At 37.1% G+C, this 15,024-nt stretch overlaps 1 protein-coding gene across 1 annotated transcript in view, besides 1 other annotated feature; it reads right to left on the bottom strand.

Annotated features, from left to right (window-relative positions):
- ARHGAP24 (Rho GTPase activating protein 24) overlaps positions 1-15,024 on the bottom strand; it is a 527,517-nt gene that overhangs the window by 497,789 nt on the left and 14,704 nt on the right. The gene's annotated exons all lie outside the window — the stretch shown is intronic.
- Positions 6,427-6,476: an enhancer, noted in NCBI's record as "active region_21690". NCBI's record gives its function as "activates an Ori minimal core promoter by ATAC-STARR-seq in GM12878 lymphoblastoid cells {active_cell/tissue: GM12878}" and the evidence as "EXISTENCE:reporter gene assay evidence [ECO:0000049][PMID:35858748]".

Raw genomic sequence — 15,024 nt, 5'->3', positions numbered from 1 at the left:
AACATGGAAAGGAACAACTGGTGCCAGCCACTGCAAAAACATGCTAAATTGTAAAGACCATCGATGCTATGAAGAAACTGCATCAATTAACAGGCAAAATAATCAGCTAACATCATAATGACAGGATCAAATTGACATATAACAATATTAACCTTAAATGTAAATGGGCTGAATGTTCCAATTAAAAGACACCAACTGGCAAACTGGATAAAGAGTCAAGACCCATCAGTGTGCTGTATTCAGGAGACCCGTCTCATGTGCAGAGACGCACATAGGCTCAAAATAAAGGGATGGAGGAAGATCTACCAAGCAAATGGAAAACAAAAAAAGGCAGGGGTTGCAATCCTAGTCTCTGATAAAACAGACTTTAAACCAACAAAGATCAAAAGAGACAAAGAAGGCCATTACATAACGGTAAAAGGATCAATTCAACAAGAAGAGCTAACTATCCTAAATATATATGCACCCAATAGAGGAGCACGTCCTGATTCATAAAGCAAGTCCTGAGTGACCTACAAAGAGACTTAGACTCCCACACAATAATAATGGGAGACTTTAACACCCCACTGTCGATATTAGACAGATCAATGAGACGGAAGGTTAACAAGGATATCCAGGACTTGAACTCAGCTCTGCACCAAGCAGACCTAATAGACATCTACAGAACTCTCCACCCTAAATCAACAGAATATACATTCTTCTCAGCACCACATCGCACTTATTCTTAAACTGACCACATAATTGGAAGTAAAGCACTCCTCAGCAAATGTGAAAGAACAGAAATCACAATAAACTGTCTCTCAGACTACAGTGCAATCAAATTAGAACTCCAGATTAAGAAACTCACTCAAAACCACACAACTACATGGAAACTGAACAACCTGCTCCTGAATGACTACTGGGTAAATAACTAAATGAAGGCAGAAATAAAGATGTTCTTTGAAACCAATGAGAACAAAGACAGAACATACCAGAATCTCTGGGACACATTTAAAGCAGTGTGTACAGGGAAATTTATAGCACTAAATGCCCACAAGAGAAAGCAGGAACGATCTAAAATTGACACCCTAACATCACAATTAAAAGAATTAGAGAGGCAAGAGCAAACAAATACAAAAGTTAGCAGACGGTAAGAAATAACTAAGATCAGAGCAGAACTGAAGGAGACAGAGACACAAAAAACCCTTCAAAAAATCATTGAATCCAGGAGCTGGTTTTTCAAAAATTTCAATGAAATTGATAGACTGCTAGCAACACTAATAAAGAAGAAAAGAGAGAAGAATCAAATGGATGCAATAAAAAATGATAAAGGGCATATCACCACCAATCCCACAGAAAAACAAACTACCATCAGAAAATACTATAAACGCCTCTATGCAAATAAACTAGAAAATCTAGAAGAAATGGATAAATTTCTGAACACATACACCCTCCCAAGACTAAACCAGGAAGAAGATGAATCTCTGAATAGACCAATAACAGGCTCTGAAATTGAGGCAATAATTAACAGCATACCAACCAAAAAAGTCCAGGACCAGATGGATTTATAGCCGAATTCTATCAGAGGTACAAAGAGGAGCTGGTACCATTCCTTCTGAAACTATTCCAATCAATAGAAAAAGAGGGAATCCTCCCTAACTCATTTTATGAGGCCAGCATCATCCTGATACGAAAGCCTGGCAGAGACACAACAAAAAAGAGAATTTTAGACCCATATCCCTGATGTTCATCGATGCAAAAATCCTTAGTAAAAAACTGGCAAACTGAATCCAGCAGAACATCAAAAAGCTTATCCACTACGATCAAGTCGGCTTCATCCCTGGGATGCAAGGCTGGTTCAACATATGCAAATCAATAATTGTAATCCATCACATAAACAGAACCTACGACAAAAACCACATGATTATCTCAATAGATGTAGAAAAGGCCTTCAACAAAATTCAATAGCACTTCATGCTAAAAACTTTCAGTAAACTAAGTATTGATGGAACATATCTCAAAATAATAAGAACTATTTATGACAAACAAAGCCAATATCACTCTGAATGGGCAAAAATTTGAAGCATTCCCTTTGAAAACTGGCACAAGACAAGGATGCCCTCTCTCACCACTCCTATTCAACATAGTGTTGGAAGTTCTGGCCAGGGCAATCAAGCAAGAGAAAGAAATAGAGGGTATTCAATTAGGAAAAGAGGAAGTCAAATTGTCCCTGTATGGAGATGACATGATTCTATGTTTAGAAAACCCCACCTTCTGAGCCCAAAATCTCCTTAAGCTGATAAGCAACTTCAGCAGAGTCTCAGGATACAAAATCAATGTGTAAAACTCACAAGCATTCCTATACACCAATAACAGACAGAGAGCCAAATCATGAGTGAATTCCTATTCACAATTACTACAAAGAGAATAAAATACCTAGGAATCCAACTTACAAGGGATGTGAAGGACCTCTTCAAGTAGAACTACAAACCACTGCTCAACAAAATAAAAGAGGACACAAACAAATGGAAGAACATTCCATGCTCATGGATAGGAAGAATCAATATCATGAAAATGGCCATACTGCCCAAGGTAATTTATAGATTCAATGCCATCCCCATCAAGCTACCAATGACTTTCTTCACAGAATTGGAAAAAACTACATTAAAGTTCATATGGAACCAAAAAAGAGCCCACATTGCCAAGACAATCCTAAGCAAAAAGAACAAAGCTGGAGACATCACACTGTCTGACTTCAAACTATACTACAAGGCTACTGTAACCGAAATAGCATGGTATTGGTACCAAAACAGAGATATAGACCAATGGAACAGAACAGAGGCCTCATAAATATCACCGCATATCTACAACCATCTGATCTTTGACAAACCTGACAAAAACAAGAAATGGGGAAAGGATTCCCTATTTAATAAATAGGGCTGGGAAAACTGGCTAGCCATATGTAGAAAGCTGAAACTGGATCCCTTCCTTACACCTTATACAAAAATTAATTCAAGATGGATTAAAGACTTTAATGTTAGACCTAAAACCATAAAAACCCTAGAAAAAAAAACTAGGCAATACCATTCAGGACATAGGCATAGGCAAAGACTTCATGACTAAAACACAAAAAGCAGTAGTGACAAAAGCCAAAATAGACAAATGGGATCTAATTAAACTAAAGAGCTTCTGCACAGCAAAAGAAACTACCATCAGAGTGAACAGGCAACCTACAGAATGGGAGAAAATTTTTGCAATCTACCCATCTGACAAAGTGCTAATATCCAAATTCTACAAAGAACTTAAACAAATTCACAAGAAAAAAACAACCCCATCAAAAAGTGGGTAAAGGATATGAACAGACACTTCTCAAAAGAAGACATTTATGCAGCCAACAGACACATGAAAAAATGCTCATCATCACTGGCCATCAGAGAAATGCAAATCAAAACCACAATGAGATACCATCTCAAGCCAGTTAGAATGGCCATCATCAAAAAGTCAGGAAACAACAGATGCTGCAGAGGATGTGGAGAAATAGGAATGCATTTACACTGTTGGTGGGACTGTAAACTAGTTCAACCATTGTGGAAGACAGTGTGGCAATTCCTCAAAGATCTAGAACTAGAAATACCATTTGACCCAGCCATCCCATTACCAGGTGTATACCCAAAGGATTATAAATCATGCTACTATAAAGACACATGCACACATATGTTTATTGTGGCACTATTCACAATAGCAAAGACTTGGAACCAACCCAGATGTTCATCACTGATAGATTGGATTAAGAAAATGTGGCACATATACACCATGGAATACTATTCTATTCAGACATAAAAAAGGATGAGTTCATGTCTTTGCAGGGACATGGATGAAGCTAGAGACCATCATTCTGAGCAAACTATCACAAAGACAGAAAACCAAACACCGCATGTTCTCACTTGTAGGTGGGAATTGAACAATGAGAACACTTGGACACTGGGTGGGGAACATCACACACCAGGGCCTGTTGGTGGGGGGGTGGGAGGCTGGGGGAGGAACAGCGTTAGGAGAAATACCTAATGTAAATGACGAGTGGATGGGTGCAGCAAACCAACATGGCACATGTATACCTATGTAACAAACCTCCCCGTTGTGCACATGTACCCTAGAACTTAAAGTATCATCATAATAAAAAAGTCTTATGAGTCCCCATATTCCATTCTGAGGCCATGAGCTTTCCACATCTGAGATGATTCATAGTTATTGCTTAATTTAAATGCATCATGTGATATAATTATAACAACATATTTTGCTTAGTTAATCCTGACTAAAATAAATTACTTTAAAAGTTATAAGAAGGAAATCTGGAACAAGAAAAACATTTTGGTAAACATTTATACAGTCCTCACTCTAAATATTCCTAGTTGTTTTAATGAGTTGGTACTTATTAGGACAGTACTATTACCATTTAGTTAATAATCTGTATTCTCAGTAATAAAGTTTTCAAATTATTTTCCAAGGACATATTTCATCACTGATTAATACATTTTTATTCCCTTGTAGAGCCATGGCACTGAAATGAATACCAGGGAACACCAGACTTCTCAGTTTCCAGCACTACAGAAATCTGGGCTGTCATAAGCATCTGGATGAGTACTGTCCCATAGGAATATAATAGAAGCCACATTTTAAATTTTCTAGTATCTACATTAAAAAGGTAAAAAGAAACAGGTGAAATTAATCTTAATAACCTATTTTAAACCCAACATACCCAAAATATATCATTGCAACATGTAAACATACTTCAAAATATTAGTGAAAATTTTATATTCTTTTTTTCATACTATGTCTTAAAAATCTAGTGTGTATTTTACATTTCCAGTACATCTCAATTTGGATGCTAAATTTTATCACAAATACTTAGTTGGTATTAGGCTTCATAAAATTTACAGTTTAAAAAGTAGATCTCCAGAGGTGAGTTGTTCCCCCAATAAGCTTAACTTTTTTTCCAATAATTAAAAATAGTACCGATTATTAAACTTAAATATAAGTTCATTAAAATTAAAGTTAGAAACTTAAAAACTCTGTTCCTCATTCATACTAACCTCAATGCATATGATCATTAGCTGTGCCTACCACACGGAACAGCACAGACCTAGATGAGTCTCTATAGAGATTTCTTCTTCCGTACTCATCTTTAAGCCAAATGTTTCTTTGTCTTATTCTGGTTTATTCTTTGTTGTTTAATGCTTCCCTTCTCTAAGAGGTGATAATGAAAGATAGTCATAGTAGCTAATATTCTAGGAGCCAATCTTGGCCCCACCAAGGCTGCAGGCTAGGTAAGAGCTCTCTTCATTTGAACCTCTGGAGAATATTCTTAATTTTTCATAGCTTCAAATATTTAGACCTTGAATCGTCACCAAAGACAAGAGGAAAACAGGAAACGAAGTGGTGATAAAGGCTTTCTAGTTTTCCTCTAGTATTTCTCTCCCACTTAAAGCCATGTGAATGCTTGCTAGTGATAGTATATGCTATCTTCTGAATGATTCTAAAGCAGAGTATTTCATTAACATTGAAATCAAATAGAGAGATTGTTTATAAAACTAGAGGCTTGAAATTCTAATATGAACTAAACCTATCATCAATGCCCTTTTTAGACCAGTCACTTAGAAGGTCATACATTTATTTTAGCAATGCTGCCATTACCAAATACATATTTATATATTCTTTCAAATGTTGGTATATGTTCTCACTCTAAAATAATATATCTGATTTAAATTCGAAGACATTCTAAGCAAGGTCTAATGAAAGTGATAACCACTTAGTAATAACTACGAAGCAAACAACAACAAGCTGATTATAAATAAGAATAAGCTGTGGAATAAATGAGAGGAGCTTAACTGTGAGGTTTCTTCTCTAATCTCATGGATGACACTAGTTTATACAGTGAAATTCTAAGTTGTCTGAAGCAAATAAAAGAAAAAATAAATGTATGACAATATTTGAAAATAATAAGTTCTCAATTTGTTCCTTTCCTTTTAGAGGGAACTTTCATTTTCTTAGAAGTATGGATAAGTGCTTACTGATTATTAACAGCTACATTTAATTTACTAATACAAGTATCATACAAGATGGTGAAATTTTTCATAAATATTCTTGAAGTTTAGTGTAGAGAAGGCTCACTCGAGCAATCTGTTAGAATCTAGATTCCTGGGATCAATTCCCCACGATTCTAATTCTTCTCTAGGCTTTAGGAGAGAAAGACTGTCTTTAGTCTCTTCACTTCCTTGTGGCTAAGATGACTACACGGGCCTGTGGTCTCCTCACTTCCTTGTGGCCAAGACATCTACACAGGCCCGTGGATTTCCCCATTTGGGGCAGGGAGTTAGGGCTGTTCAGCACGAGGCTGAGCTCACAAACAGGGCACAGGTCACTCTCTTCTAGGGCTCTCCTCCTTTTTCCATTAATATAATTGAAAAATTTAGAATACCAAAGTAAGTAGGTCACAGAGAAGATAGCAACACAACTATTCAGTCTGCTTTCTCTCTAGTGTTGGCTTAAAGGAGCAAGGAAAGCACACACAAAGCTAGCATGGCCAGGCCCAGCTCCCTAGTCCACAAGCCACATCATAATTTGATGTTAGGAGCCAACCCAGGTATAAGATGGCCATTATTTTACTGTGTCCTTAATTCCCCTGTAGTAGGTGTCTGGATGAGATTCAAGATATTAGTCACCTTTGACACATTATCACAAATTCTTGGCAAACAAGTATTTTGTTTCCTCACAAAAATCTCCTTGTTCTTGTTACCAAAGAAAAGAAAATAAACTATTAGCTTGTGCATTTATTTTACTTGCATAAAGGACTCTACACTTTTTATTAACCAACTTAAGAGAAAAAGGAACTCAACCATAATTACCTCTTGTTTTATTTAGAATAGAAATTTACAAGTTGGAGAAGGAAATTGAACACCGAGGGAGACCCAAACCTGGCAAAACTGCCGTGTGTTCAAAGACTGTTACAACAGTAAAACTAAAAAGTTAGGGACATGGTGCTGCATTTCTTTTCCTTTTCTTTCTTTCTTTTGTTTTTTTCCAGACTGAGTTTTGGTCTTGTCACCCAGACTGGAGTGCAATGGCACGATCTTGGCTCACCGCAACCTCCACCTCCTGGGTTCAAGCAATTCTCCTGCCTCATTCTCTCATTTAGCTAGGATTATAGGCCTGCACCACCACGTCCAGCTAATTTGTATTTTTAGTAGAAATAGGGTTTTACCAGGTTGGTCAGGCTGGTCTCCATCTCCAGACCTCAGGAGATCCACCTGCCTCAGCCTCCCAAATTGCTGGAATTACAGGCATGAGCCACTGTGCCTGGCCGGTGCTGCATTTCTTAATTTAGCATAGAAGAACTGATTTTGCAGATATACATTTTTAATGTTGACAATTAGTAGCAGTGGACAAGAAGATAATATATTTTGCATTTATATAATTATTTCAAAGTGACTTCTCTCCCACAATTAATCTTTACAAAATTTCTGAGAAATAAGTATTATTTTCTAGACGCTGAATTTAAAGCTCACAGAAGTTGTTTTCCCAGTGTTACACAGAGTACTTTGACAGAGCTGAGACATGAAACTTTATCTCTAGGTCTCACCAAAGCACATGATTTTGTACCCTGATTGGGCTTGTCAGGAATGGATGGGGCATGGTGGGATTTATTCACCAACATCTGTGACTAATAAGCTCAGTTGGTTGGGATATTTCCAATCCTTTCTTCTTTACTACTTCTATTAGTCACCAAGTTTAATCGTTTTAACCGTTTCATATTTCCTGATTCCATTCCTTCCTCTTTATCAACAGTGTACAAATTCACACTAAACTCGGGGCATTTGCCAAATATCCAATATTCTCATAACACGGCTTTGCATGTGGGTTCCCTTTGCCCAAAATGACTTCCTTCCTTGTCCACTTGTAAACATCACAAAATGACTTTTTTTTGGTTCATTCCTAAATTTCATACTCATTTCTCTGTATTTTGTTGGCGGGACTTTTCTCAGAAAGGATAGACTTTCACCAAAACACATTTGGGTAATATTAATTTCCCAAAAGGTTTTTGACCTGTCACCAAAGTATGGGTGCTAGTGTCCGTAGTTAGACATCTACAAAACTCGTGTGAAAATGTGGTGCAAACCATGAACTATGGGGCACCTAAGACTCTGCCTTTTTTATTATTACCACTTAATATACCCGGGAGCTTGCTACATGTTAATCTTCACAGTGTTGCATGGCCATTTTTATCAGTATGCTGTTGAACTTCACGGTTGTGATTTGAAACCTGTCCAATGTGATGTGACATATATTTGTGGTCAAAAGGTGATCTACACATCATGCAAAACGTTAAAATCTTCTCAAAAGTCAGAGGAGAAATATATTTCTTCAGAGAAGAGTTGTTTGCTGTTGGTTATGAAAAGTAAACAAACAAACATTCCCACCATAGCAAGGATTCCTGTGCACATATTCACAGTAACTGTGATAGACCTATTTCTGCTGAAAGCCCTGTCCTATGGTAAAACTCACAAGCTGTTTCTGTTTTACAAATGCTAAGCCTGAAAGGCACATGCAACCAAAAGCTCTCCCAGATTTCGGCAGGAAAAGGGTGAAAATGCCATATTGATGACTCTCTTATTAAATCTCAGTAAATAAACACCGGTGGTATCTTCCTTTTCATGGTTCCCGGTAACTCTAAACACTCACTCTTCATAAGCCAAGAAGTTACAAAAATGTTGGCATTTGTATAAAAGAAAACAGAACTTTGTAATCACTAAGTGTGACTAGGAGGAAGAGTGCTTCACTGAAAGAAAGAGTTCGCTATTCTATTTATGATAAAAGATGAAAATCTCACAACAAAGATAACAGTAGGCTAACTACTTCCCATGTTCTCTAGGGTTTGGGGAGCTACAAAGTCAAAATGAGACACAAACAAATTCTATAAAATATGTGATACTATAAAAGGATTAAAATTTTCTTTCACTATCCAAGAGAAATAATGCTGACAGTCATAAATTACAGCTAAGGAGAGACAGCTGAGCACTGAATCACTCTCATGCCTCTGTCTACTTCTATGTAGGCATCAGAAAATGCTTTCAACGCCTGCCATGCTGTAGAGTATTACATTCTGATACACTGTTAAAAATAGACACACTACTAGTAGTCAATCTCCCCTCATATCCTGTAATTCCTGATTAATAATAGTAAAATTTTTCTGGGCCAGGCACGGTGGCTCACGCCTGTAATCCCAGCACTTTGGGCGGCCGAGGCGGGCGGATCACCAGGTAAGGAGATTGAGACCCATCCTGGCTAACACGGTGAAAACCCGTCTCTACTAAAAATATAAAAAAATTAGCTGGGCGTGGTGGCGGGCGCCTGTAGTCCCAGCTACTCGGGAGGCTGAGGCAGGACAATGGCATGAACCCGGGAGGCAAGGCTTGCAGTGAGCCGAGATCGCGCCACTACACTCCAGCCTGGGCAACAGAGTGAGACTCCATCTCAAAAAAAAAAAAAAAAAAAAAAAAAAATTCTGTACTTCTGTACTTACTTGACTTGGCCTACTTCTCCCCTTTTCAGCTTCTACTAGCCGCTCTCTTCCTTCTGACCCTTTACCTCTTCGCTGAAACCCGGAAACAAATCAAGGAAAGAAAGAAGTGTAAAGATACTGTTCATACTCGGTCATTTATAGGTCATGTCTTTCAGGAAGACAAAATGGTTTGTAAAAGTGGAGGGTCATTTTTGGCTCAGGTCACTCTTTTTTTTTTTTTTTTTTTTGAGACGGAGTCTCGCACTGTCGCCTGGGCTGGAGTGCAGTGGCGCGATCTCGGCTCACTGCAAGCTCCGCCTCCCGGGTTCATGCCATTCTACCTCAGCCTCTCGAGTAGCTGGGACTACAGGCGCCCGCCACCCCGCCCAGCTAATTTCTTGTATTTTTATTAGAGACGGAGTTTCACTATGTTGGCCAGACTGGTCTCGAACTCCTGACCTCATGATCTCCCCACCTTGGCCTCCCAAAGTGCTGGGATTACAGGCGTGAGCCATCGCGCCCGGCCAGGTCACTCTTTTTCTTGAGAGTTTTCATGAAGTTTTATCTTGTATTCCGTTACAGAAACTTGAAAGAAGGCTATTTTCTGTTATTTTATTTCCTACATGACAGACTTAATTTTTTTTATTTTTTATTTTTTTTTTTGAGACAGAGTCTCGTTCTGTCACCAGGCTGGAGTGCAATGGTGCAATCTTGGCTCACTGCAACCTCCACTTCCTGGGTTCAAGCTGTTCTCCTGCCTCAGCCTCCCGGGTAGCTGAGACTACAGGCTCCACCACGCCCAGCTAATTTTTGTATTTTTAGTAGAGACGTGGTTTCACCATGTTGGCCAGGATGGTCTCGATCTCTTGACCTCGTGTTCCACCCGCCTTGGCCAATATTAAAGATATTAAAAGAGTAAAAAAAAAATGTATAATAATGTTACATATAACACAGGAACAGAAAACCAAACACTGTATGTTCTCACTCATTAAGTGGGTGTTGAACAATGAGAACACATGGACACAGAGAGGGGAACCACACACACGATGTTGGGGGATGGGGTGTGAGGGGAGGGAAGTTAGAGGATGGGTCAGTAGGTGCAGCAAATCACCATGGCACATGTATACGTATGTAACAAAGCTGCACGTTCTGCATATCCATACCATTTTTTTAGAAGAAATAAAGAAAAAAAAGAAAACATGATAGAAATATGAGGCTTCATTTTCATATCAACAACAAAGCAAGTATTAAAATCAGTCTATTAAAAAATACAACCTTGATTTGTAGACAACTCACTTAAGTATGTAAATATTCAGGTCAACATGAAGTCACCATAGTTTTCCTTGTAGGTCAAAGCACAAAATTTTTCACGATGAGGAAGAGAAGAAAAGTAACTTAGGAAATAAAGCGTTTTGACCCTATATTCTAAGGCTAAATATTGTACTCTTGTTAGTAAATATTTTTCACAGAAGTATGGATGAACAATTCTGAAAGTACTTTATGTGTATGGAAGATTTAAGCAAATAAGTAAATAGACTGTAGAAAAAAGGAGATACGTTCTTTTGTGAATAAGCACAAGTAACACCCAGATTTTTGGTTTCTAAATTCTATTCTTTAATAACAGAAATCTGGTGTCTTTAGAAAATGATTGACTCATGGGCTGGATCAAATGGAGTACAAGAAGAGCCTAGAGTGTCTTGTGGTACCAGAAAAGAAGAATGTTCAAAAATGATGGTGATATGAAGAAAGGGCACAAGAGCCAACTTAAAGGGCTTCCAATGGTCAAATGTGGACAATTTGAGCAACAAAATAAATATCAGTTGTAATGGATTATAGCTCACAGAATGAAACAGATACCCACGAGTCCATACTGATATACATAAATAATTGAAAGTAAGTAAGTGGGGGGTAAGGGAAAACTTCCGCGTAGAAGAATTTTAACTAATAATGGTAGAAGGAATTATGAAGATAGAAAATCGCCATTTGGCAAACACCATAGTGACAACTGTTTCAGGCAAGAATGATCAATGAGTACAAAATTCATAGCTGAAAGTATGATAGAAAAAACTGGTCATTTACATAGTATCTCTCCACATAATGCTTATTAGTTACAGAAAGTAAACTAGCAACTTTATAGTAGAGAAACCTGGCCAGCCTAGAATGAATAATTGGAGTTAACATCAGTAGTATTTAGACAAATTGACATCATGCGCTTCCTGATATGATGCACTGAGAAGGGGACAGCCCTAATTCTATGGTACTCTTGCCAAAAATGTACAACCTGACTTTTATTATCAGAACACAAAGTGAGAGACATTCTCCAAAATACCTGGTCACTAGACTTCAAAAGTGTCAAGATCTCGTAAGATACGGAAAGACTACCCAGATTGGAGGAAACTAAGAGACATGACAAATAAATGTTGTGTATGATTTCGGTTTGTCTCTTACTCTAGAAAAAGGACATTGGTGAGATAACTGATGAAATTTGAATAACAACTACAGATTAGTTAATAGTATTTTATCAGTGTTAATTTTCTGGTTTTGATAACTCTAAAATGCTAACATTTAGAAAAGGTTATATGGGAATACATTTTGCAATTTTTTATGTTTCAAATTATTTTGAAATAAAAAGTTAAAAAAATAAAATATAGATTTTGAAATGTCCTGTGACACTGAATAGTGACTCTCTTTGATAGTAAATCTCAGTAGCAATAAGTATCATTTGTAACATGAAATGTTTTCAGCCATGTTATCCCGTTTGGCAATTATCCCCATTTAAAAAAATGTTTTAAGTGGCTTGGCACTGTTAGTGAATGTTAGAGCAGACTGACTCTTTAAATATAGGCTTTTTTGAATCCATTATCACAGTAATATTTATCAAACCAGCTGCTTATCTGGTTTTACATTTCCATAAAAGCTTTATGAGGATAGGAGTAGAAAGGAGGAGCTAATAATAATTATACAACAGTTCATTCAAGCAGTTTTGAACAATTAAAGTGAAATATTTAGTCCATGGCTTTGGAGTCCAAAAGAAACGAAGATATCGACCAGGATAGCACATCCTGGAAATGTGTAACTGAAGAAGAAAGAGGGCCAATAAACACCATGACCAGTAATAATAAGAAGAAGGAATAGAGGAAGAAAAAGATCATAAGAAAGTTTGGTCCTTAGAGGAAACTGATATGACAAGGTTCTAGGGTAATAAAGAGAAAAGGCAAAGAACAGAAGAAGGAAGGAAGGGAGGGAAGGAGGGAGGAGGGAAGAGGGAGGAAATACGGGAGGAAGAGGGAATGGCGAGGAAGAGAGAGAGGAAATAAAAAGAACCAAAATGGAAGAAAGACAAAAGACAAAAAAGTGGTTAGAGAAAGAATAGAAACAAGACATTTAACTTCAAAGAGGAAGGGGCCTATCACTTTGAATTAGAATAAAAGTAAATAAGCTGGTGATGTGGTCCCTCACTCACAGCTGTCACCTGCTCAGTATAGTTTCAAATTCATTAGAATTCAGAACATGAAGCAGCTGAAACTTCTAAGGGAGTTCAACTTGAGGCTAATTCAATGAGATAGCACTCCAGACACCCAGAGGCATTAGAGGTTCTCATCACAAGACACTTGGTTGACAGTACTCTGGCCAGAGCCCTCCTTGGGCTAAGAAACAAGTATAGATTCAGGGCAACAGCCTAGATAAAAACCATCAGTTCCAAGTCCCCAGGAAGTACCTAGTGCACACAGAACCCCTCTTGGGACTCCTACTCAGCATAATTGCTCCCTCCAGCCTGGTTTCCACACAGCTGTGTGTGTGTGTGTGTTAAACAGACCCAAGGTGATTTCTGGATAATGTCCAAGTTGAAATACAGCCTAGCTGATTTATTAATTAAAATAATTGAAAAAGTCCAAGAACAGTAAGTGGCAATTAATACCAGAATAGAACAGTTTCTGTTACTTATTTTTATAATTATATTTCTGAATTTGATATTTAAAGTTAAACACAAAAATTAGCAGAGGAAATGAGAGATAACAAAATTGTTATTTTTCTTAAGGGCTTACTTTAAATGGAAGAATGTACCACATTAGCCATCAATAAGCTAAAAAATTATGATCTAAAACCAATCATTAATTATGAAAAAGTTATCAACTTAAAATTACATTATTTTTATGTGATGAATTACAAGACATTTGGTATTATGCACCATTTTGTCATAACCTCCAAGGGGACAAAACAAGATAATAAGGTAATTGATCAACCTAAAGTAACAAGTTTTGTATGACCCTTATAAATACCAATTGCAGGTGGAAAAAAAGATTCAATCTTGCTTAAATAACAGGAGAATGTAAAACTAAACAAACCTATTATATTAAGCAAAGGCAAATAGGAGTTTGCAGAAAGAAGCATTTGTGTTGGAATAAACATATGAAGATGAGAAAAATCTGAGATATTTGGAATTATATTGAGTGGTCCCTGTGGGGAAAATTTTTATTAATAAATTCTACAATTATCAAGGCTTTTATAATGTCTGGTCATACAAGCTCTGTTTTGGGGCAAAATAACAAATCTTTTTGATTCCATCAAATACTAGTCACTGGCCACTAATTCACCACAAACAAAAAGTGCTAAATTCATAGACCTGCAAGAGGTAAATGCATCATTCTAATAAGAGCTAGGGCTAATTAAAACCTTCCTCAAAGCTCCCAAACAAATGTTCCATGGCTTGATTGTTTAACTATAATTCTTAATGGTCAGACAATAATGATGCTTCCCTGCCTCTTATTAAAATCAATTATGGCACGAAATTCAGAAAGGGTAAACTGGTTCATGTGTGAATGAATTCTAAAGAGAATTGTAATTTAACAATGGAATACCAGGAAATTGCAAAGCAAAAGAACTACCAACTCAAGAAAAAGCATCTAATATCTTTATTTCAAAGCAAAGCTCAGATTTAAGGCAAAATATAACCTGGTTCCTATGAACCAGAGGCCTCTGCTGACTGCCTCCAAGCCTGTAAACACAGTCTTAAATTGTTCTAGCTACAATTTATGGGTCAACATTGGTATCAGGAATCAATCTCTAATCTTGTAAGCAATCACTAGACCTGTTCCCTAACTACCTTGACAAAAAGCATCACCAACTGTAATTCAGCATATCTCAGGCTAATACAAAATATCACCAGTAATTTTATCACATTCTACCTTAACATGACATATATATTTATTCTCCCTCTCCCTCCCATTTCTGCCCCCTCCAGGCCCATGGTAATATGACCTTTGCATGTCATTTACTCTTGCTGAATTATTCTAGCATTTCACATTAATAATACAGCTCATAAATGATGTCATACACTAATTGCTTGGCATTTCCATCAAATAGTTCAATATAATTTTATTTTACTTAATGGCTATTTCTAAGAGATTAAGAAAATCTTCGTTACATCAAACTAACAGAAAACAGCAGTAAAAACATGCCACTATTATTATTGCTCCTTATTTGGTCCG

The sequence above is a fragment of the Homo sapiens genome, chromosome 4, assembly GCF_000001405.40.
Source record: "Homo sapiens chromosome 4, GRCh38.p14 Primary Assembly".
NCBI lineage: Eukaryota > Metazoa > Chordata > Mammalia > Primates > Hominidae > Homo > Homo sapiens.
Note: the sequence above shows the minus strand (reverse complement) of the source record. Positions and strands in the feature narration are given on the sequence as shown.